Source organism: Homo sapiens, chromosome 2 (assembly GCF_000001405.40).
Source record: "Homo sapiens chromosome 2, GRCh38.p14 Primary Assembly".
Classification (NCBI taxonomy): domain Eukaryota; kingdom Metazoa; phylum Chordata; class Mammalia; order Primates; family Hominidae; genus Homo; species Homo sapiens.
In genome coordinates this window covers 232515929-232536729 of record NC_000002.12, presented here as the reverse complement: position 1 = coordinate 232536729, position 20801 = coordinate 232515929, and the positions used below count along the sequence as shown (strand labels likewise).

At 58.6% G+C, this 20801-nt stretch overlaps 2 protein-coding genes across 7 annotated transcripts, besides 5 other annotated features; both read right to left on the bottom strand.

Annotated features, from left to right (window-relative positions):
- Positions 66-10570, bottom strand: CHRND (cholinergic receptor nicotinic delta subunit). 4 transcript variants are annotated; one of them, NM_000751.3, is made up of 12 exons: positions 10463-10570; positions 10056-10201; positions 9285-9329; positions 8359-8468; positions 8074-8229; positions 7759-7868; positions 6591-6791; positions 5267-5378; positions 5074-5188; positions 2595-2799; positions 2388-2506; positions 66-1600 (listed from the first exon to the last, which is right to left on the bottom strand). In NM_000751.3, exons 1-12 carry the CDS (start codon positions 10512-10514, stop codon positions 1418-1420), a joined length of 1554 nt encoding a protein of 517 aa, NP_000742.1. In that variant the 5' UTR covers positions 10515-10570; the 3' UTR covers positions 66-1417. The 4 variants fall into 4 exon arrangements, with proteins under 4 accessions (NP_000742.1, NP_001298125.1, NP_001243586.1 ...); NM_001311196.2 differs by having other exon boundaries at positions 8391-8468; NM_001256657.2 differs by lacking the exon at positions 9285-9329.
- Positions 1046-1565: an enhancer, noted in NCBI's record as "H3K4me1 hESC enhancer chr2:233399875-233400394 (GRCh37/hg19 assembly coordinates)". NCBI's record gives its function as "activates a minimal SCP1, AML or CMV promoter by ChIP-STARR-seq in primed H9 embryonic stem cells {active_cell/tissue: H9 hESC(primed)}" and the evidence as "EXISTENCE:reporter gene assay evidence [ECO:0000049][PMID:30033119]".
- Positions 2608-3128: an enhancer, noted in NCBI's record as "H3K4me1 hESC enhancer chr2:233398312-233398832 (GRCh37/hg19 assembly coordinates)". NCBI's record gives its function as "activates a minimal SCP1, AML or CMV promoter by ChIP-STARR-seq in primed H9 embryonic stem cells {active_cell/tissue: H9 hESC(primed)}" and the evidence as "EXISTENCE:reporter gene assay evidence [ECO:0000049][PMID:30033119]".
- Positions 9821-10474: an enhancer, noted in NCBI's record as "H3K4me1 hESC enhancer chr2:233390966-233391619 (GRCh37/hg19 assembly coordinates)". NCBI's record gives its function as "activates a minimal SCP1, AML or CMV promoter by ChIP-STARR-seq in primed H9 embryonic stem cells {active_cell/tissue: H9 hESC(primed)}" and the evidence as "EXISTENCE:reporter gene assay evidence [ECO:0000049][PMID:30033119]".
- Positions 11014-16342, bottom strand: PRSS56 (serine protease 56). Of its 3 annotated transcripts, none has more exons than NM_001195129.2 (13): positions 16035-16342; positions 15302-15409; positions 14864-14914; positions 14570-14759; positions 14116-14215; positions 13869-14028; positions 13528-13670; positions 13152-13314; positions 12785-12958; positions 12527-12691; positions 12361-12423; positions 11886-11992; positions 11014-11514 (listed from the first exon to the last, which is right to left on the bottom strand). In NM_001195129.2, the coding sequence occupies exons 1-13, from the start codon at positions 16129-16131 to the stop codon at positions 11224-11226; spliced, it is 1812 nt and encodes a 603-aa protein (NP_001182058.1). In that variant the 5' UTR covers positions 16132-16342; the 3' UTR covers positions 11014-11223. The 3 variants fall into 3 exon arrangements, with proteins under 3 accessions (NP_001182058.1, NP_001356777.1, XP_047301387.1); NM_001369848.1 differs by having other exon boundaries at positions 12785-12961; positions 16035-16267; XM_047445431.1 differs by having other exon boundaries at positions 12527-12961.
- Positions 12580-13089: an enhancer, noted in NCBI's record as "H3K4me1 hESC enhancer chr2:233388351-233388860 (GRCh37/hg19 assembly coordinates)". NCBI's record gives its function as "activates a minimal SCP1, AML or CMV promoter by ChIP-STARR-seq in naive H9 embryonic stem cells {active_cell/tissue: H9 hESC(naive)}" and the evidence as "EXISTENCE:reporter gene assay evidence [ECO:0000049][PMID:30033119]".
- Positions 14360-14559: a silencer, noted in NCBI's record as "silent region_12459". NCBI's record gives its function as "represses an Ori minimal core promoter by ATAC-STARR-seq in GM12878 lymphoblastoid cells {active_cell/tissue: GM12878}" and the evidence as "EXISTENCE:reporter gene assay evidence [ECO:0000049][PMID:35858748]".

The following is a 20801-nucleotide window of genomic DNA, read 5'->3' as shown; positions in this document are numbered from 1 at the left end:
AGTGAGATGAGGAGCAGCTCACTCAAGGTCACATTGCTGGTGTAACAAATGACACCAAAACGTTGTCACTTAAAACAACACACATTTATTATCTCACACAGTTTCTGGGGGTCAGGAATCCAGGAGTCACTTAGCTGGTGGTTCTGGCTTAGGGACTTTCATGGGGCTGCACATAAGATGTCTACTGGGCTGTGATCTCATCCGAAGGCCCTACTGGGGCAGAGGATCCACTTCCACATTCACTCACGTGGCTGTTGGCAGGAGGCCTTAGTTCCTTGCCATGTGGGCCTCTCCATAGGGCTCCTTAACATGCCAGCTGGCTTCCCCAAAGTGAGAGATCCAACTGATGTGAGAATGAGGGCTAATGAGCAAGAAAGAGGCCATAGTGTCTTTCCTAACCAAATCTGGGAAGTGAGGTACCATCACTTCTGCCTCATTCTATTGGTTACCCAGACCCACCCTGGTACAGAGTGAGGGGACTGCACAAGGGTGTGAATACTGGGCATCACTGGGGCCATCTTGGAGGTGGACCACCATACAAACAGACCCTTGTCTCCCAATTCCTGCAGCCTTGGCCTTTGGCCCTCAGGATAAGATTGAGTGGAGGCTGCCTTTGGGATAGGGTTGCTAGATTTAGCAAATAAAAATAGGGGACAAATTTCAGAGAAACAACGAATGATTTTTTAGAATATGTATGCCCCAAATAATGCATGACAACCCTAATTTGGAGAGGAGTAGGTGCTGGGGGGCAGGGACCCTTTGGGGAGAGGTGCTGCGTTCTGGTCCTCTAGGATTGTGTGTGCAACCTCAGGCTGACCCCAAGTCTTTGTGGATGTCGATCCTGACCTTTCCACTCCAGTCCTCAACTTCCCAAAGGGACCTAGGCAGAGAGGTCAAGGCAGAAAGAGCTAGGAAAGGATACTCTGGGGTCTGGAGGGAGGGAGGTGTCCTCAACCTCAGTCCCAGGTGAGGCCTCAGAAGCCTGAGGTTGAAGGGTAGGTAGGAAGAGGGAGGCTGGAGGGGCCAGAGAGTGAAGGCGCAGATTCCTGCCTGCTCTACCCCACACCTTGGGGGAGGAGAAGCAGAGAAGGGGCCCTATCTGTCTCACCCCTATCAGAGCTCTCCCCCTGAGGCCACCCTGAGTGGCCTCCTCCCTGGCCCCTGAGCCAGCCTCGGGCCTCCCCCCAAATCGTCCTGCCCACCCACTGTAGCCGATGTCCACCCTCAGACCATCTCGGGTGGCCCCTGTCTTGATTTCAGGGGAGCCATTGAGCATTGAGGAGTGGCTGCTCCCTCCCTTCCTTGGACTCTTCCCCAGTCTGAGGGGCACGAGCCTCAGGGCTAGGAGTGGGTGTCATTAGGGACTGTGGCTCCTCTCTCAGACCCTGCTGTCTCCTGGCTCCCCAACAGGCCCACCCTAGATGAAGCGCTTGTCCTGCACGTTGTAGGAGTAGGGGTCCCCAGGAAAAGGCTGGGGTGGTGGCTGGTTGTAAACGCCCTGCAGGAAGATCCAGGCTGTGCCCACCACCATGACAGGCGTCACCACAAACAGGCAGAGGCGGTCCACTGTGCGGGCCACTCGGTTCCAGCTGTCTTTCTCCTGTGGGTAGGGGCAGAGAGAGTGGGGTGAGAAGGGCCTCAGGCCACAAAGCCCCACCCCCAAGCTGGGGCCCAGCCATGGAGGCAGAGGGCGGCTCAGTGTGCCTGCAGAGGCTGCCTCGGGCTTGCAGGATAATGCTGGCTTGTCCCCAGCAAGGTCCCAGGCCCCTCTGGCCACAGGCAGGGCTGATCACTCTGTTGAGGAGGCGGGAACAGACCATAGCCTCCCTCTCTGCTGTAGCACAGGGCTCTGGGGCTAGAGAGGAACTGAGGCCCAGGGGTCTCTCCTAGGGGCTGAGGAAGGTGGATAGACCCCTCTCTTCTTCTCCCCCATCTCAGCAAGTCAGGGCTGCTGCCAGCCCATATGTGAACTGGGAAAAGGTGCCCTTTCTCAAGAGATAGTTTTTAGAAGTTGTATAATGTTGAATAACCATATATGGCTACCTTTAAAATGTCTGGTTCTGTCTGGAGTATCAGGCTTGGAACTGAGTAGGGACAGAAAATGATTGGCAGCTGGGAGAAAGAAGGGATCCTAAGGGATGCTCAGAGTGTGGCCTGGACAGGGTGGAGCTGTGTGCCTATGTGTGTGTGCCTGGCCCCAGTGCTGCTATAGGGTGCCAGGCAGGAGTTCTCTCTCCCTGGCGGGGGGGCCTGGAATCTGTGTCACATTAACTCCCTCATCTAAGTTGGTGTGTGCCTCTAAGGGGAACCCTGCCCTCTTAAGATAGAATACACTTAATCAGTGCCCTACTTGAACACCTGTACATGGCAATCCTGTGGTCCCTTACCTCATTGTAATTGTTCTGGTCCCTCATGTGGTTAACAATGAAGTTTGCCCCATCCACAGCTGGCTTCAGCTCATTGAAGAGTTCCTGCTGGGCCTGCTCAGAGCTTGCTGGGGGCCGGCCTACAGACGAGGGGCCAGAGTGGGTGTGAGGCCTGCCTCCACCCACCTCCCACAGATGGGCTGAAAACCAAGACCAGCGGGGACCCACGTGCAGTGGTGAGGCGCCTGGCCAGCCCATGCCGCTCTGACTGCTTCTCGAACATGAGGTCACTGCGGGACTTGAGCAGGAAGTACTCCTCGGCCTTGGAGATGTATCCCAGGGAGCTGCTCCTCCGCACCAGGGCCCCAGGGCTGGGTCCATCCTCTGCTGGGCGGGACATGTGCAGGAGCTCCGGCAGGGTCTCCAGGAAGAGCTGGGGCCATGTCAAGGGGCCACAAGAAAGGCGTTGTTTTTTGTTCTTTGTTTTTGAGACGGAGTCTCATTCTGTCACCAGGCTGGAGTGCAGTGGCGCGATCTCGGCTCACTGCAACCTCCACCTCTCGGGTTCAAGTGATTTCTTGCCTCAGTCTCCCAAGTAGTTGGGACTACAGGCACGCGCCACCATGCCCAGCTAATTTTTGTATTTTTAGTAGAGATGGGGTTTCACCATTTTGGCCAGGATGGTCTTGCTCTCCTGACCTCGTGATCTGCCTGACTTGGCCTCCCAAAGTGCTGGGATTACGGGCGAGGCACCGTGTCTGGCCAAAAAGGCCATTTTACAAGCATGGGGTGACCTTTACACATCCTAACATCTGTGACTTCATTCCTGGCTGCCACAAAGTGCTCCCCCGTCTGACTCTGTCATTGATTCCCCGATCTCCTACTGATGCACATGCAGGTTGCTTCCAGCTCTCCCACATCACCCATGGTGCGGAGCAGAACCCATTCACTAAAAATGATTAATTAAAGACCAAAAACTAAGGTAAATGCTCCAAATGCTAGAGTCTCCCCCATCAAATGCTGAAAGACAAAAAGAGTTGCTAAGGCCGGGCACAGTGGCTCACGCCTATAGTCCCAGCTCTTTGGGAAGCCGAGGCAGGTGGATCGCTTGAGGTCAGGAGTTCGAGACCAGCATGGCCAACGTGGTGAAACCCATCGCTACTAAAAATACAAAAATTAGCCAGGCATGGTGGCGGGCGCCTGTAATCCCAGCTACTTAGGAGGCTGAGGCATGAAAATCACTTGAACCTGGGAGGCAGAGGTTGCAGTGAGCTGAGATCGAACCACTGCACTCCAGCCTGGGCGACAGAGGGAGACTCCATCTCAAAAAAGAAAAAAAAGAGTTGCTAAACTGCCTTCAGCTGTCCCAGAACAGCCAGCCGGCCCTGCAGCAGCCGAGAGGCAAGGGCAGCCCCCTCCTGAGCACCCTGCACTCAGTCCTCCCCTTCTTCCTTCTGAGTTGCAGCATACAGTGGAATGAGCACATCTTAAGTATATAGCTAGATGAATTTTTACAGATGCATTCCACTGGGTAAATCACCAGTGATGAGATAGTGAACATGATCCCCAAAAATCTCCCTCACACCTGCCCCCACTCAGTACCCTCCCAGCCCCAGAGATAGCCACCATTCTGACTTCCATCACCAAACACTGATTTGGCCTGTTCTTGAACTTCTTACAAAGTGAGGCCTGCAGCATGTGCTGCTGCGTCTGGTTTCTTTCACGGAACACTGTGCCAGGAGGTTCACACGTGCAGGGCTGCAGCAGCCGCAGGTGCTTCTGCACGGCTGAGCGGCACTCCCGTGGGAGTATATGTCCAGTGTCTTTACCCATTCTACAGATGGCCTTTGGACAAGTTCCAGATTTTTTTTTTTTTTTTTTTTTTTTGGAGACAGAGTTTCGCTCTTGTCTCTTGTCGCCCAGGCTGGAGTGCAGTGGTGAGATCTCGGCTCACTGCAACCTCCACCTCCCGAGTTCAAGCGATTCTCGTACCTCAGCCCCCCGAGTAGCTGGGATTACAAGCGCACACTATCACGCCTGGCTAATTTTTGAATTTTTAGTAGAGATGGAGTTTCACCATGTTGGCCAGGGTGGTCTCGAACTCTTGACCTCAGGTGATCCACCCGCCTCAGCCACCCAAAGTGCTGGGATTATAGGTGTGAGCTACCACACCCGGTCCCTGCTTTTCATTTTATTTTATTTTTTTAGAGATGGGGTCTCGATCTGTTGCCCAGACTGGGGTGCAACTGTGATCATAGTACATTGCAACCTCCAACTCCTGGGTTCCAGGGATCCTCCCACCTCAGCCTCCCGAGTAGCTGAGACTCCAGGTGTGAGCCACTGTACCTGGCTTAGTCTCCAGCTTTTGGCTATTGAGAGTGCTCATTTCTTTTTTTTTTTTTTTTTTTTTTTTTTTTGAGACAAGGTCTCACTCTGTTGCCCAGGCTGGAGTGCCCTGGCGCGATCACAGCTCACTGCAGCTTTGACCTCCCAGGCTCAAGTGATCCACCTCAGCCTCTTGAGTAGCTGGGAATACAAGCATGCGCCACCACACTTGGCTAATTTTTTTGATTGTTTATAGAGACAGGGGTGTCTCTATGTTGCCCAGGCTGGTCTCCAACTCCTGGGCTCAAGAGATTCTCCCGCCTCAGCCTCCTGAAATGCCAGGATTACAGTGGTGAGCTTTTGCGCCGGGCCAAGTACTCACCTTCTTGACCCCCTCAGACAGCACATGGGTGCTGGGTGTTCGGAAGTGGATGTTGAGCACGATGACACAGATCACCACAACCATGGTGACCAGCACCATGCCGAAGAGCAGGAACCTGTGGGCAAACACTCAGCTTGGAGCTCCCAGGGCTGGGCTGGCAAGCAGGGTGAGGCCGGGCTTGAGCGTCACTCACTTGCCGATAAGGGGGATGGCCATGGATGTGGCAGGCAGACGCTTGGAGATGAGCAGCAGGAAGACAGACTGAGCCAGGAGCACCGAGATGGCCACTGATGTCTTCTCACCACCTGGGGAAGCCAGACTTAGCTGTGACCTTGGGGCACCGGTCCTAGAGGGTCCAGCTGTGACCTTGGGGCACCGGTCCTAGAGGGTCCCGCTGTGGCCCCTGGCACCTCTGTAGTACCATCATACCCTGATGAAAATTACGGGTTATGGAGCTAGAGTGCCTGGGTGCAAATATCAGCTCTGCCACTTACTAGCTGGGTGACCTTGGGCAAGTAGCCCAACCTCTCTGTGCATCAGTTTTCTCAACTGTTAAATGTGGTGACAGAGTGTGTTTAACACGCATCACTCTGCCTGGCACTGGGTAAGTGCTCATGAAAATCAGCTGTCACAACCCACCCACGCCACTGAACCCTCCTGGAGCACAGACCTGCGTGCGTTACTCCCCGCTTAGAAAGTGCCAGGTTGTCCTTGTAGAACCAGGATAACACCTCAACTCCCAGCCCCTCACTCAGAGACCCCAGCCCAGTGCTGTCTTGCTCTTCCCACCTGAGCTCCTGCACGTGATGGCAAGGGCGGGAAGGGGGGCTCCCCTGCTGAGGTCCCTTCAGCCCCTGCCTGGCCCCCTCCTTATTGGCATTGCTCCTCCTGCCTGTGGTAGCCCCACCCAATCCTGCTCAAGTCCATTCAAACTCCACCTCCTCTAGAAGCCCTCCCAACCCCACTGCAGATGGAAGGTGCCCCACTTCTCCCTCCTCAAGTCCTGCCGGGGGCAGGGGCTGGGTGGCCTTTGACCCTGGGACTCACTATGCCCTGCTCATAGTAAATACTCTGAACTTGTAAACCACTGCCTCATAGAGTCAGGTGAGCATAGATGGGTTTTCTGCCTCACACCCTACTGTCCTAGAGACCCTGTTATTCACCCACTGGTTCAACAGTTGAGGGCCTCCTGTGTGCCAGGCCCACGGTCACACACTGGTGACCGTGAGGGACTTGGTCTCTGCCCTGACAGAGGGACAGTTTAGCAGTTCTTCTGAGAGTCCGTGGGAAGTAGCATCTTGGAGATGCCCTGCCCTGTCCATTTGGGGATGTTGCCCAGAATCATACAGCCCTCCCTCTGGGTGGCCACCTGGCCCTCACACCTGGATCCAGGCAGGGAGCTCCAGGAATGGAGACCCCAGGTGGCTCCCAGGAGGAAGTGAGGGGGCAGGGCTGGGGCTGGCTGTGCTCAGGTGGGCTTGGGGAGGGGGAGCAGGGGACGGGGCCTGGAGGCTCACTGTCAGCCGGTAGGTAGAAGACCAGGTTGACCATGAAGGAGATGAGCACGCAGGGCACCAGGATGTTGATGATGTAGAAGAGGGGCTTGCGGCGGATGATGAGGTAGAAGGTGATGTCCTGGCGGCTGGGGCTGTCCAGAGGGGCTCTGGGGTCCACGTTGACCCTGGCCGGCCGGTGGACTATCTCCCACTCCCCGTTCTCTGAGGGCGGCACATGGACATCTTAGGGTCAGGCCAGGCCAAGGGGGCTAGGCAGGGCCTGGGGACAGAATGAGGGGCTGGGCAGGGCAAGCCAGTCCAGAGACGCAGATGGGCTGTCTACGGGGTCCCGTTGGTGGGTGTCGTTCCCTGGGGGGTCGGGATGGAAGTTTCCATCTGTGAGGGGAAATCTTCCTCTGTGACTGATTTCTTTTTTATCTTTTCGGAAAAAATAGAAGCTGAGGCCATACAGGACTCAAATAAGGAGTATCTTTTGGCTCAAAAGATACACGAGCCAAAAACAGGTATTGCAGATTAAGACACCAAGTCAAACAAATGCTCTCAGACATTGAGCCTGTCTTCCTGAGTAACAAAGAAAAGCCTCCTGGACATTAATTGAGCCACTCCTCGGCCTGGGCCTTGGGGATAATGAGCCAGTGACAGTAAAACTATCCCTGCCATGATGTGCCAGCCTGAGACAGTGAGACAGGGTCCCTTCTGATGGACAGGGCAAGTGGTAGGCCCCATGGAGGATCCGAGCCTGGGTACAGATCGGGGATGAGGATGTCAGGAGGGGTGGCAGACACCCCCATCAGGATAACACAGCCCTCATGCCAACCACACCCCTGGGCTCACCAGGCACAGGAAAGACTAAACCCCTGTCAGCCACAGGCATCTCATGTGGGAGAAGCATGACTTCCGGGCCTGGGCAGAGGCATGGGGAGGGCCCTGGCACCTTCTCTCTCTGCCTTTGGGATAGCTTTGCATTCAGGAAGTGTGAGTGTCTGTGTGCTCCTCTGTGGGCGGATATGTGTCTGCCCTTCTGTGTCTAGCTGCGTGTGTGAGGAGCTGTGTATTGGTGTCCTAAGTGTGTGTGTGTGTGCACGTGTGTGTCTCTGGGGTGGACAGGGCCAGTGTGTCTGTGTGTGTCTGAGGGACCTGCCCACCCACTGGCGGCTGTTCCCAGCACCTGTGAAGCCTTCAGGATCAATGATGATCCACTCCACGGGGTAGGTGCGGTTCTCCTTGGCATCCTGTTTCAGGCTCAGGGTGATCTCTTTGGCCGTATACTTGAGGGAACTGGGGAGGGCAATGGGCAGAGAGTGACACTCGGCCAGTGGCTGGGGCCACAGAGTGGGGAAGGGCTGGTAAGGGAGGACCATTGTGGGGAGGGCAGCACTAATCCAGACAGGGCAGGGGCCTCTGTCTGAGGGTGCTTCAGTCACCTTCTTTGGCCTCTGGCAGGGTGCTTTGGGGTGAGGGGTGGCTGGAGAAAAGGGCACACCTGAACTTGAGGGAGCAGTTCTGCCAGTCGAAGGGGAAATAGGTGACAGAGATGGGGCAGGAGGAGCGGAAGATGGCAGGTGGCAGCCAGTACACGAAGCCGTAGTGGTAGACAAGCACGTTGCAGGAGTAGGAGATCTGGAAGGAGCCGTCATTGCTGGGGGACAGGGACAAGAACCATAGTGAGCTCTGGCCACTCACGACTGGCAGAGTTGGGGGAGGCAGAGGAGGCTTAAGGAAAGGAGGCAGGGTGACAGAGGGGAGGTCAGGGAGGGCTTGGCTCAACTTGTTCTCCAGCACAATCTCTGGGAGCCACACCATGTCCGGGGGGAGGCGCAGGACACTGATGTTTCCAAATTCTTCAGCATTCCACTTCAGCCGGTTGTCTGTCCAGCCCTGGAATCCCAAAGGCATGTCACCAGTGCACTCTGCAGCCATCCAGGCTCCTGGCTCCCCCCACTTCCCTGAGAGAAGACTGAACAGGGTCTGAGAGCTGTGACAAAAGAGGTTTGGGGAAGGCAGGTACAGAGTGCGGATTCAGGTCTGTCATGGACAGCTGTGCAGGATGCTCACTGCACAACTAAGGGAGCATTATTTCTACTGTGAGCATAGACGATTTGTGTCTGTACTGTGGACTTTTGACAGGCAGGAAGAGAATGTTTTCTAATAAACATCAAGATAAAGTGGCAATTTTCCAACATGTGAATCCTAATCCACTTGAAGGTGACATCAGGGCTGGTGAGGGCACTAGGTGGGGGAAGGACAGTTGGGCCTGGGGCTTCCCTGTAGGGAGGCACCAACCCCTCCTGGAGAACAGTGTCCAAGGCAGACGGGATCTCCATGCAGAAGCAATCTGGTGCCCTGCATTCCCTCCCCGACCCCACCGGCTCTGGGCGGGGCATTCTCTTTTTTTTGAGATGGAGTCTTGTTCTGTCGCCCAGGCTGGAGTGCAGTGGCGCAATCTCGGCTCACTGCAAGCTCCGCCTCCTGCGTTCACACCATTCTCCTGCCTCAGCTTCCCGAGTAGCTGGGACTACAGGTACCCACCACCACACCAAGCTAATTTTTTGTATTTTTAGTAGAGACGGGGTTTCACCGTGTCAGCCAAGATGGTCTTGATCTCCTGACCTCGTGATCCACCCCCCTCGGCCTTCCAAAGTGCTGGGATTACAGGCATGAGCCACTGCGCCCGGCTGGGAGGGGCATTCTTACGTGCTCTATCCACACATTGGTAGTGAGGGTCTCCTCAACTTCTTTCTGTAATTAGACGGTAGGGCCATCCTTCAGGGCCATATCATTCTTTTATCCGCACACATTCACCCACTCTCTCTCTCTCTCTCTCTCTCTTTTTTTTTCCAGGGTCTTGCTCAATTGCCCAGGATGGAGTGCAGTGGCACGAGCTTGGCTCACTGCAACCTGCAACCTCTGCCTCCTGGGTTCAAGCGATTCTCCTGCCTCAGCCTTCCTAGTAGCTGGGATTATAGGCCCACACCATCACACCCGGCTAATTTTTGTATTTTTAGTAGAGATCAGGTTTTACTATGTTGGCCAGGCTGGTCTCGAGCTCCTGACCTCAGGTGATCCACCCACCTGGGCCTCCCAAAGTGCTGGGATTACAGGCATGAGCCACCACACCCAGCCTACATTCACCCACTGTCAATTGGCACCCAGGGAAACCGTGGCATCTGGGCCCTGATCACTCGCAGTCAGGAGTGGGTAGGCCGCCAGGGAGCAGAGAGGACCAGTGGCCTCTGAAGTGTGTCACAGATGGGGCATGCTATGGGTGTGGTTGGGGGACACCGCAGAGCTGACACTGGAGGGGCAGGACAGCAGCCTCTCAGGGCACAGAGCAGCCGCAGCACGTTTCCCAGGAAGGGAGTGGCCATAGGCCAGGTGGGGGCTTCTAGCTTCCTCCATGGCTATCCTGGTACTGGAAAGCCATCCCTGCCCTCCCTCCCAACCCAGCACCGGAGGGCCTCTCACCAGGGAGATGAGGTTGGAGAGTGTGAGGGCCAGGGCAACGTCCACACTCTCCTCTTTGTGTGCCACGGGCCGGAGCTCCTTGTTGTAGCCCTTCTCTTGAAACAGGTGCCGGATCAGCCGCTCCTCCTCGTTCAGCCCCCAGCTGCCTGGGGAGGGTCAGCGACAAGGACTGAATGGGGCCCTGGGCAGGGGACTCAGGAAGGAAGCTGCCCTGAGGTCCTGCTGGACCATGAGGTTGGGATGAGCAGGGGGGAACCCAACCACTCCCTGGGAGTGGGGACCCCAGAAGGCGGCCCCCCACAGGGAGAGATGGCAGAGTGGGAGTGGAGTGAGTGAGGAGCCATGCGGTGTGGGGCCTGGGTAAGCATCACGGGGGACCCCAGGGTGGGGAGGGTGTCTTCCCTTACCACACACCGCCAGGGCAGCCAGCAGCCCCAGTGTCAGCACTGGCCCCTCCATCCCATCCCTCTGACTGGGACGTGCATCTGCCCCTCCTGTCTACAGGGCTGTGGAATGAGGGTGGGCGGGAGAGGGGACAGGTGTTGGGGGAGGAGGGGGTCAACGGGAAGAGGCAGCCGGAAACACAATCTGACACCTCATGGCGGTGGGGGACGGGCCAGCCAGGGCAGGAGCCCAAGGACATGAGGCAAAGATCCCAGGCTGGGACTCCCCGCAGCTCGGAGGCGGGGGGTGGGGAGGGAGGGCCGGGGGGGTGCTGGGCGGAGACGCTGGGCACTGGGGCCAGCGCTGGGCAGCCATGCACGGGGGCGGGGCAACAGGCAGGCCAGCTGCTGCTGCTTCTCAGGAGGCAGGAGATAGGCTCAGATAGGGGCCTTACAGCCCCTTTCCAGCATCTGTTACCCTTGCCAACTGCTTCCAGAGGCAGCCCTGCCTGGGCCCCACCCCTGAGACTGAATGTCCACCCACCAGGTCCCATCCCAAGAAAGCTCCAGAGTTGTTTCCGTGTATTATAAATAACATTTATTAAAGCAGCTGTGATTCTCTGATTGTAAACCTGGGAAGACACGGGGGGCCCAGGACCCCCACCCCATCCCACCCACACACACCCAGCCACTGGGGCAGCGACAGTTTGTCATTATGCTCCCGAACCCCTCTCAGCCCCTGGGAGCAGTAGGTCCTCCCCAGGGGCTGGGGGCCCAGACATGGCTCAGGGTTGCCTGGCGGGGGGTACCTGAGGGTTGAGTGGGTGGTGCCCCTTCCTCTCCAGCCCGGGCCCCTGCCCTACATCCATCCAGGGTCCCTCGGGCTCCCCTTCTGCCAGGGCAGCCACGCGGAAGGCCTGCAGGGCCTGCACCAGCAGCCGGGGGAGGCTGCGAGCCAGTGTGGCCGGCTCCAGGCCCACCAGGCCGCTGAAGGCCACATGCCGGCCCCCCAAGCCTGCCCGCACCCAGGCTCTGAAAAGCCCGGTCAGTGTCTTGGAGCCCAGATCTGCCAGGACCTACAGATGGAGGAGTGGGGATCAGGGGCCCAGAAACTCACTCCTGAGTTGAAACCCCAGAGGTCACCCCCTCTCCCCCTGGGCCCCAGAAACTCTCACCTAGACCTGGAAACCCTGCTCATTTCCCGCTCATGTGGACACTCCCACCCACCCCTCTACTCACTCTCCCCACCACCACCCCCAGTGGCCTGGCTCACACTCCGCAGGCCCCACTCCCTTCCCCTCGGACCCTCTACCTACCCCCAGAGCTGGGGCAGAGGCGACCCCAGGCTGCTGGGAGGGTATCTGGGCTGGGCCCTCTGCATCTTCCCTGGGCTGGGTCTCAGCCTTCCCAGGCCATCGTGAAGGAGTCTGGAAGCCTGGGGACCTACCTCATGAAAGTTCATGGCCAGGTGCTCCGAGGGGACCTGCAGGATCCAGGCATGGGCCCCCTGCAGGGCAGCCAACTTCTGTCGCAGGGGCTCCAGCCCAGGGCAGCCTGGAGGAAGAGGAGAGGCCCCGGGAATAATGAACGGTTGCGGTATGGAACTGGGGGTGGCACTCCCACCAGCACCTCAGGATGGCCTCCCAGGGGACACACTTATCCTCTTATGCTATAGGTGGGGAAACTGAGGCTCGGAGAAGTTAAGCAGTAACACCAGGCAAAGCATCTCTGTTTGACACTGATGAGAGCTAAAACCACAAGTACTCCAAAAGAGTCATACGCTCTATGGCGGGGAGGGGAGAACGAGTCCACCCTGTTGCCCCATGGGGTAAGCCCTTTCCGGAGCTGCAGTAGAAGCGCTTCCGACCTCGTCCAGGCCCTCAGCCTATCCCCTCCTGAAGGTCGGCAGGGGGCGTCATTACCGTTGGCTTCTCCGCGCGGCTCCGGCCTCCGCTTCGGGAACCGAGTGCCTGCAGCCCGCGATCCTGGGGAGGCACAGGGTTAGGGTACCGCCTCGGCGGAGAAAGTGGCTGTGCCGCGCGGGTGGGGCCGGGCCAGGGCTGGGCTGGGCTGGAGGGCGCGGGGTACCTGAGTGAAGCCGCAGCTCCCGGGCGGGGTGCAGAGGAGACTCCCTGAGCGCTGGAGCGGGGAGAGCCAGGGCGGGGGCCAGGCGCCGCAGTCCCGGACGAGGCCCGAGCAGCTCCTGCGCGTTCCGCAGCAGGCCCAGCAGCGTGTGCGCCAGCGAGCGCAGCTCTGCGGACCGGACAGGAGTCGGAGCGGCGGTCAGAGGCTGGCCAGGCCCCCTCCCCTCTGCCCCCCGTCCGGGTCCGGGTGAACAGAACTGACCGCATCGCCGCCGGCGCTGCAGGCACTGCTGGTGCGCCAGGCGCGCACAGGCGCCCTGGGACCCCGGGCACAGGCGGGCATAGAAGGCGCAGAGCCGGGCGGCGTCTGCCTGCAGCTCCTGGGGGGGGTCCCAGGCCAGAAGCTCCCTGCAGCTGGGCTCGCGGCTGGAGGAGGCTGCTGCGGGCGGGACAGGGGTCAGCTCACCCTCTGTTTGGGGCCCTAGCCCCCTCACTCCTTCCCCGGAAGGAGACAGGCTTTCCCGAGGCAGAAGGGAGCTGGGAATGGGCATGGGCCGGGTGGAAACGGGCTTGTCCCACGGTTGTCCGTTGGGGCACTGGGGACGGGGCATTGGAAAGAGGGCGCTCACCGCTCATCTGCTCCTGGAGCCAGTCCTTGAACACTGCCACGCGGGTGTAGACCCCGGGCTTCCCTGGCTCCCCGCAGCCGTCCCCCCAGGAGGTGACTCCGAACAGGACCTCTCTAGGGCGGGGGCCAGGCTCAGAACAGGTCAGGGGGCCTCCCGAGTCACCCTGCGGGGCCAAGAGAGAGGACGCTGCATTCACCTGCCCCCTATGACGCCTGCCTTACGCCTGGCAGGTGTGAGCTTGCCACTTGTGTCCATTTTAGGGATGAGGACAGAGAGGCTCAGAGAAGTCGAGTGACAGACAGACGTGGAAGGAAAAGAGGCCGTAGTGGCCCTGGGAAGGCTCAGCCGGCCTTTTCTCATCAGACTGGGTTCATACCTGGCACGAGTCAACGCCCCCCGCCAGGTACCCGGCGCAGAGCATGGTGCTGGGGCGCAGCCCGGGCCCCAGGGCTCTTCGGCAGGTGTCGGTGCTGAGCAGGGGAACACGGGCCTCTCTCACTGCTTCAGCCTCAGGCCCGTCTGCAGGGAAGGGGTGGAAGGCTCAGGTTTGGAGGGCAAGAGCCCCGCCTTGAGGGTCCCCTTCCCACCACCCCCCTTGATTCCTCCCCCTTTGAAAGAGCAGGCAGCATTTTTCCAAGGCAACCCGGCCTCCCTACACTCTATTACCTCGGACCCCCAGTTCTTCCCACCACGCGCCGGCTCACCCACGCCCAGTACCTTCGAAGAGGGCGCCCCAGCCCGCGATGGCGCAGGCGGTTCCGGCAGGGGGCTCCTGGGGCTCCTGGGGCAGGCACACGGGGCGCGCCGATCCCCCCGGGCTCACCGGCGTCCACAGCTGCACCAGGGCCAGGTCGTTGTGGAAGGTCCGCGGGTCAAACTGAGGAGGGGGAGGCGGCGCAGGGTCAAGGAAGCACGGGTGGGGGTGCGGTGCCCAGCCTTGGGGGCCTGGGGACTGCCTTCTCACCTTGGGGTGGGGCAGGATGCGGTTCACTGGCACCTCCTCCGCTTGCTCCCCCCGGGACCCCTCTGCCAGCGTCACAGTCCACAGAAGCTCATTCGGGGCGCTGCGGGTCGAGCGGCAGCTGAGACGCAGGAAGGACAGGGGCACACCCCGCAGGCCCCTCGGAGACCCTGCCCCTCCGCCCGCATGCCGGGCTTTCTCCACCTGGGGGCACGGAGGGCGGGCCGGGGAGGGGTCCCGTCCCAGAGGGGGCGAACTCGCCCGGCCGTGCCACCCCCTCCGGGCTGGCATCCTGGCGGGGCGGGCGCGGCGCCTTGAGATGGGGAAGCCCGGGGCCGGCCGCCGCCAGGGGGCAGCAGAGACCACCTTTCCCGCGCGTCGCCCGCCGGACAACCCGGCAGGTGCGGGGCCCAGCGCCGGGGACCCCAGCTGGGCAAGGCCTGGGGGTCCTACTTACCCTACAAAGCAGTGCGCTGCCGTGAGCACCCAGGAGGCCGCTACCAGGACGCCGCCGCACAGAGGCTGCCCGCCGAGCTGCAGCCTCACCAGCCAGGGCCAGGCCCCGGGCGGCGCCGCGCTGCCCCCCACGATGCGGCCGTGGGCCCGCGTCACATTGGCAGTGCTCGGACGCCTCTCGCCGCACGGCCCTAGAAAGGGGCAAGGGGTGTCACGAGGGACATGTTCTGGCCATCCTCGCCTTCGAGGCCCACCCGGCTCTCAGGCCTGCCCCCTCGAGCCTTTTCAACCTCACCTGGCTCAGGTGGGTCCTGGAGGAGAGCTTGAGGCCTGGGGCGCCCAGATCCTGCAGAGAAACAGACCTTTGAGTCTCACTGCTGCCCTCTCGCCTGTCCTCACCCCAGGCTGGGCCGAGCCTCTCTCTCCCCATCTCTCCTTTCGCGCTCAGCCCTCCAGCCCACACGGGTTCTATTTCAGCAACCATGAACTTCTCCTGGTCACCACAGGAGCCCAGAGTGTTTCCGCCTCCCTGCCTTTGCACAGGCCATGCCCCAAGCCTAGCGTGTCCTTTCCACTCGGAGAGACAGACCTTCACAAACGTAGTCTAGGTTGCGGCCCAACACAGTCTCTGCCCCCAAGAGGAGAGTGAAGACTGAAGGGAAGGGACAGAGGCAGCAGAATGGGCCCAGGGTAGGCAGCAAGCTCACTGGGGCACGGGGGGCAGGGTGGGCACCTCGGCACTCGTGCGATCTGTGCTGGATCTCCATCGCCACTCGGTTTATTGCCCACTGGGCGCTCCTCTGGGCTGCCTGCAACGCCTGAGTCCCCTGGGCCGACAGAACTGCTGGGACAGGGGGCACACAATCATGCGTGGTTGGGGAAGAGCCTCAGCCTCATCCTCCTGGCCCCAGCCCTGAGCCCTGCCTCGGGAGACCCACCAGCCTGGGACAGAATGAGGAGGCAAGTGAGCCCCGGGGACGCTGGGCCCAGCACTCAGAGCCCGTGCTCCCAGGTTCTCAGCCCAAGATGTCTCCCTAATTCAACTGAGCTGGACTGGGATCTTTGAAAGGTGCTTTTCCTTAACAATTTTTTTTAAAGACACCACCCCAAAGATACAGACATCGCAGAACTCAGCTTTATTGACTGAAAGTAGCTGTGTTTGAGTGGCCCACCTTCGGCCGGGACAGCCAAGGGCAGGGTGCTGCCCCGGGCCGTTTCTCTCTGCTTCTTGGGGCCTTCTCTCCATTCCTTTCGGCATGCTCAACAGCTCCCCTTCCCTTTCCCGCCACACCCCTCCTCTCCCACCTATATCTCAGTTCTTGGCCCCTTCTCGCAGCAGGGTGGGCAGAAGGAGCCAAAGGTCCTTATGAGTGGGGGTGACAAGCTCTTCTGTCCCCGCCCGCCCAGGGTCCCACTTCCTCTACATTCCTCCCAACCCCGCGGCTCTCGGGCCAGCCTGGACTTACCTTGCAGGGCGCTGGGGGGCAGGCGTGTGTACAGTGGGTGCCCGTGGGCAAACCATGAGCTTGGGAGGGGTAGCAGCAGCAGCACAGCCAGCAGCATGGTGACCAGGAGCTGGGGTGAGAGACCCCTGTCCTCTCTCCTCCTCGGAGTCCACCTTCCGGGTGCCTATCCTTTGGTGCCCGCCTTCTGCTGCCTTTCGGCCCCCGGGCACTGAATTCTTGTCCCTCAAATCATCTGACCCCGTTCTCTTACATCAAAATTACCCGCCTCCCTGGTCAGCCCTCACCTGGCCCTTAACTCCTAGGAGCCCACAGGGGAATGGGGCTGCAGGGTCTTTATAGAGGACAGCCTGGGGGAGGGGTGCACGGGAGGGTGGCCAAGACTGGGGGAGGAGTGGGGTAGTGGGCTTGACCTTCACCTCTGAAGTCTCATCATCCCAGCTCCGAGCCCCCCTTCTGTCAAAGGAGCCCTTGTTTCTGCGGCTCCATCAAAGGGGCCAAGACAGGGAAGAAGGGCTGACGGTTGGGCTGCAGGCCAGGCAGAGGGGGGCTGCTGGGTGGGGGCGGGCCCTGGCTCCAGGGCTGGGATGGGGGGGGATCCCCATCTGCCTCTACCCCCTGAGGAGCTTACAGCTATGACGGGGCAGACACTCCTGGAGGGAGGAGGGCAGGGGGTGTCTGGGGTTTCTCAGCAGCCCCACCCCCTGAGGAAGCCCTGGAGCTCCCCACCCCTCTGCCCCTAATTGCTTGGCAGAGTCCCTCCCCAATGTGGCCATTTCTAAAGATGATCAAAGCAGCCTAATTAGCGCCGTAATTGCCGCACTGGGGGTGGTGGGGTGGGAAGGGGCAGAGGCAGGCAGCCGCAGGAGTGGCGCGGAAAGGGAGGCGGGAGATGAAAGGCCCACAGTGGCCCAGTTCCGGGAGGACAGGCCCTAGCAGCTTCTGACGCTCTCCCAGACCCCCTGGCCCTGCACAGTGCCCGCTCTGCCTGTCCGGCATTGTTCTGTGACCCTGATCTGGCAGTGGGATTCTTCTGGAGTCCTCTGGAGTCTCATGGGCAGGGCCACACAGCTCTCCTGGGACTGAGTTACCACCTGGGGTAGGATAGTGCCCGTCTGCGCTGCCCAGGCTCCCCAATTCATGTGAGGTGAACTGGTGGGAATATTTATCAGCAAATGCTATGACCCGGGGCTCTTTCCCCCTGGAGAGCCAGCTGTTCCACAGTGACCAGCACACCATGCTAAGGAGCCCTTTCCCCAGTTACCACCGCACCTCGCCATGACAATACCTCTACTTCAGGAATGCTCTGAAAATACTGTCTGCGGATGATTCTGGTGAGTGAATTTGGTGAAGTTGGAAAGGACTCTATTCACCAGAGTATCTGTCCATCTTGCAGGGTATCTTTTTATCCATGACCTCCACAATCTTGGTAGATAAGGCATTAGCTCAACACAGCTTGAATTTTAGCATAAACAGAGACAGTGTCCAAAGGAAGATCGCCTGCGGTTCCCAGTAAGAGCCACCAAAGCAGGGGACCCAGGAGCAGAGAAGGTGGGTGGGAAATCCTCACAGGCCTCTGTGAGGATTCGACAGAGCTTCAACAGAGCTTCTGCCCTGCAGGTTACTGCATCCAAGCTGAGGGGATAGGGATGGAGCCAGCCACCCAGGCAGCTCTATGGACGCTTCCCCTAGGGCATGCCTCCAGGAAGGTATGTCCTGCCCATTCTTGCCGAGTCACGCAGGCCAGGCCACAGCAAGCCCACACAGAGCCCCTGGGCCTCCCTCCTGCCTCTGGTCTTCAGGTGGGAGGCAGGGTGAGAATCCAGCCACTGCCAAAGAAAATGGAGGGAACTTTCTGCGTGGACTGCAATTCTGCTTAACCCCATTCTCCTGTTCTCTGATTCCTGTGCCCACAGCTGGGTCCCGAGCCCTCTCCTCTCTTCTGTATGGACCCACCCAACCAAGTCTGGCTCAATTTCATCCGCTCGCACAGGTTACCTCTTAGAAGCCACATTAAAATCCCACCTCATAACATTACTTTGTTTATTATTGTTTAAGCGTGCACTCACTCCCTGTCTGCTTCCTCCATTGGAATGTGATGGAGAGACTTCCAGGCCTCTATCCCTGCAGTCTCATTCTCTGTAACACAACCGTCTTCTATTTTCTTTATTTTTCTTTCTTTCTTTCTTTATATTTGAGGCAGGGTCTCACTCTGTCACCCAGGCTGGAGTGCAGTGGCACAAGTTACGGCTCACTGCAGCTTCGACTTCCTGGGCTCAAGTGATCCTCCTGCCTCAGCCTCCTGAGTGGCTGGGACCACAGGCATACACCACCATGCCGGCTAATTTTTAAATTTTTTGTAGAGACAGGGTCTCCCTATGTTGCCCGGGCTGGTCTGGAACTCCAGGGCTCAAGTGATCTGCCCACCTCAGCCTCCCAAAGTGCTGGGATTACAGGCATGAGCCACTGCACCTGGCCTCGGACTTTGTATTTTCTTTAGAGTATTTATTCCTATGTTGCAGGATGTTGATGGGGATTCTTGGCTGTTATAAGGGGCTCAGTCTCCTATAGTCTAGTTAAAAGGGTACCAGCAGTTGGCCCCAGACCTCCTCCCAGCGAGCAGCTCAATGCCAGGGACCTGCCGAAATCCATGCCATCCTCTATGGACCCTTCCCCGAGTGAATAGGAAAACAGGACAGGGGAGGGGGGCCTTGGCACAGCACAGCAGCTTCCCTCACTTCCCCAGCCAAGCTGGAAAGGACAGATGAGGTCCCAGGAGGAATCATGGAATTTGAATTCCTTGATCAGGAATCAAGGAAGCTGGTAAGAGGGAGAGGCTCGCATTTCGGTGCCCAGCTGGATGACAGGGTGCAGGGTTTGTCTGTCCGGCTCCGTGCTGTCCCAGCATCTAGACCAGAGTCCGACTCACACATGCGCTAAATGAATGAACGATCAGCCCTGACGGCCAGATGCGGTGGCCATGCCTGTAATCCCAGCACTCTGGGAGGCCGAGGCAGGCAGATCATTTGACATCAGGAGTTTGAGACCAGCCTGGCCAACATGGTGAAACCCCATCTCTACTAAAAATACAAAAATTAGCTGGCGTGGTGGTGGGCGCCTATAACCCCAGCTACTTGGGAGGCTGAGGCATGAGATTGCTTGAACCCAGGAGGTGGAGGTTGCAGTGAGCCGAGATCGCACTACTGCACTCCAGCCTGGGCGACAGGGCAAGACTCCATCTCAAAAAAAAAAAAAAAAAAAAAAAAGATCAGCACTGGCCCCTCCCCTGCTCCAGGGCTGCATCTCTTGCCTCCTGGCACTTCAATCTCAACCTGCCCAAAGCAGTGCTGGGGTCTCCCCTCCCCTGCCAGCTCCCTGTCCATGCTCTGCTGCCCTTGCTCTCACAGCCACACCTAGCCTATTCAGTCCCAGTTGCCCGCCTCTGGCAGGCCCAGCAGTTCCTCTTCTCTCGAGTTTGTGTCAGGCAAAGAGAAGCAATGCTTTCTGAGGGGAATTTAAGGCAGCTATTTCCAGATACAGGGAGAGAATGTGGCTCAGACAGGTGCAGAGCTCACCCCCACCCCTGCTGTCCCAGGCTCTCCCTCTTTCTTCTCCTTTTGGGTGGGGCCTGGTGACAGTCCAGGCTGCAGGAAGGATGCAAAGATGACCAGGAAAGCCCCTAGTTCTCCTCTTCCTCCCTCACTGCCTCCACTCCAGGCTTCCATATCTCTTCCCTGGGAGGAGAGAGGTCTTGGTCTGTCACTTGCAGGCCCTCTCTCCACACCTGGGTGTCCTCCGAGGTCACAGATGCTCCATCTCCATCCTTCCACAGGCAGAGGCAAGCCTTGGTCTCAACCTTCCCATTTCAAGAAGAGACAGGGAAAGAACTTTGGACCTTGTCACTGTTATCTCTGGAAAACCCCAGCAGGCTCCTGTCAGGAGGTTCCAGTGGGCTTAGGTGATATGAGTCAGTCCTGCAGCCTTCTCAGACGAGGAATGAATGTGGGAAGGGCTGGGCCTCTGGAAATGGAAAGGAGACAGCCGGCACCTGGAAGGGCACCCACCTATGATGCAGCATCTCTGCAGTTGTCCTTTGGGAAAGGGCCTTCCTCTTCCAAGCTCCTGAAGACCCCCCATGTCATGGAGGTGCTTGTCCTTCCCTCCTTCCCAAACTCCCCTGACCTCCTAGGCCTCTCCAATGAAGTGGACAAAAGCACAGTAGGAACCTGGGCCGCATGGTGAAACCCCGTCTCTACAAAAAAAAAAAAAAAGAAAAAATACAAACATTAGCTGGGCAAGTTCACGTGCACCTGTGGTCCCAGCTACTCAGGGAGGCTGAGGTGGGAGGATCACTTGAGCCTGGGAGGTAGAGGTTGCAGTGAGCCAAGAATGCGCCACTGCACTGCAACATGGGAGACAGAGCAAGACACTGTCTCAAGAAAAAAAGAAAAGAAAAAGAGGCAGAGTGGGAGCAGCAGCTGAGCAGGCTGCCTTTGGGGCCGTGTCCCTAGATGGGAGGGTGGGACCTGCAGCTAGGCCAGCTTTGCTGACTACAGTGCGGCTGCCCCATGAAGTTGTGAGGGGAGGTTGAGGTAAGGTCTTCTTGGCCTGAGACCATGATTCAGAGCTTGGCATGGAGATTCAATTGCACCTCCATGTGACTTTGGGTGAATCTCTTCCTGTTATGGGCGGAATCGTGTCCCTAAAAAGACATGTGGAAGTTCAACCAGTACTTCAGACTATGACCTTATTCAGAAATAAGGTTGCTGC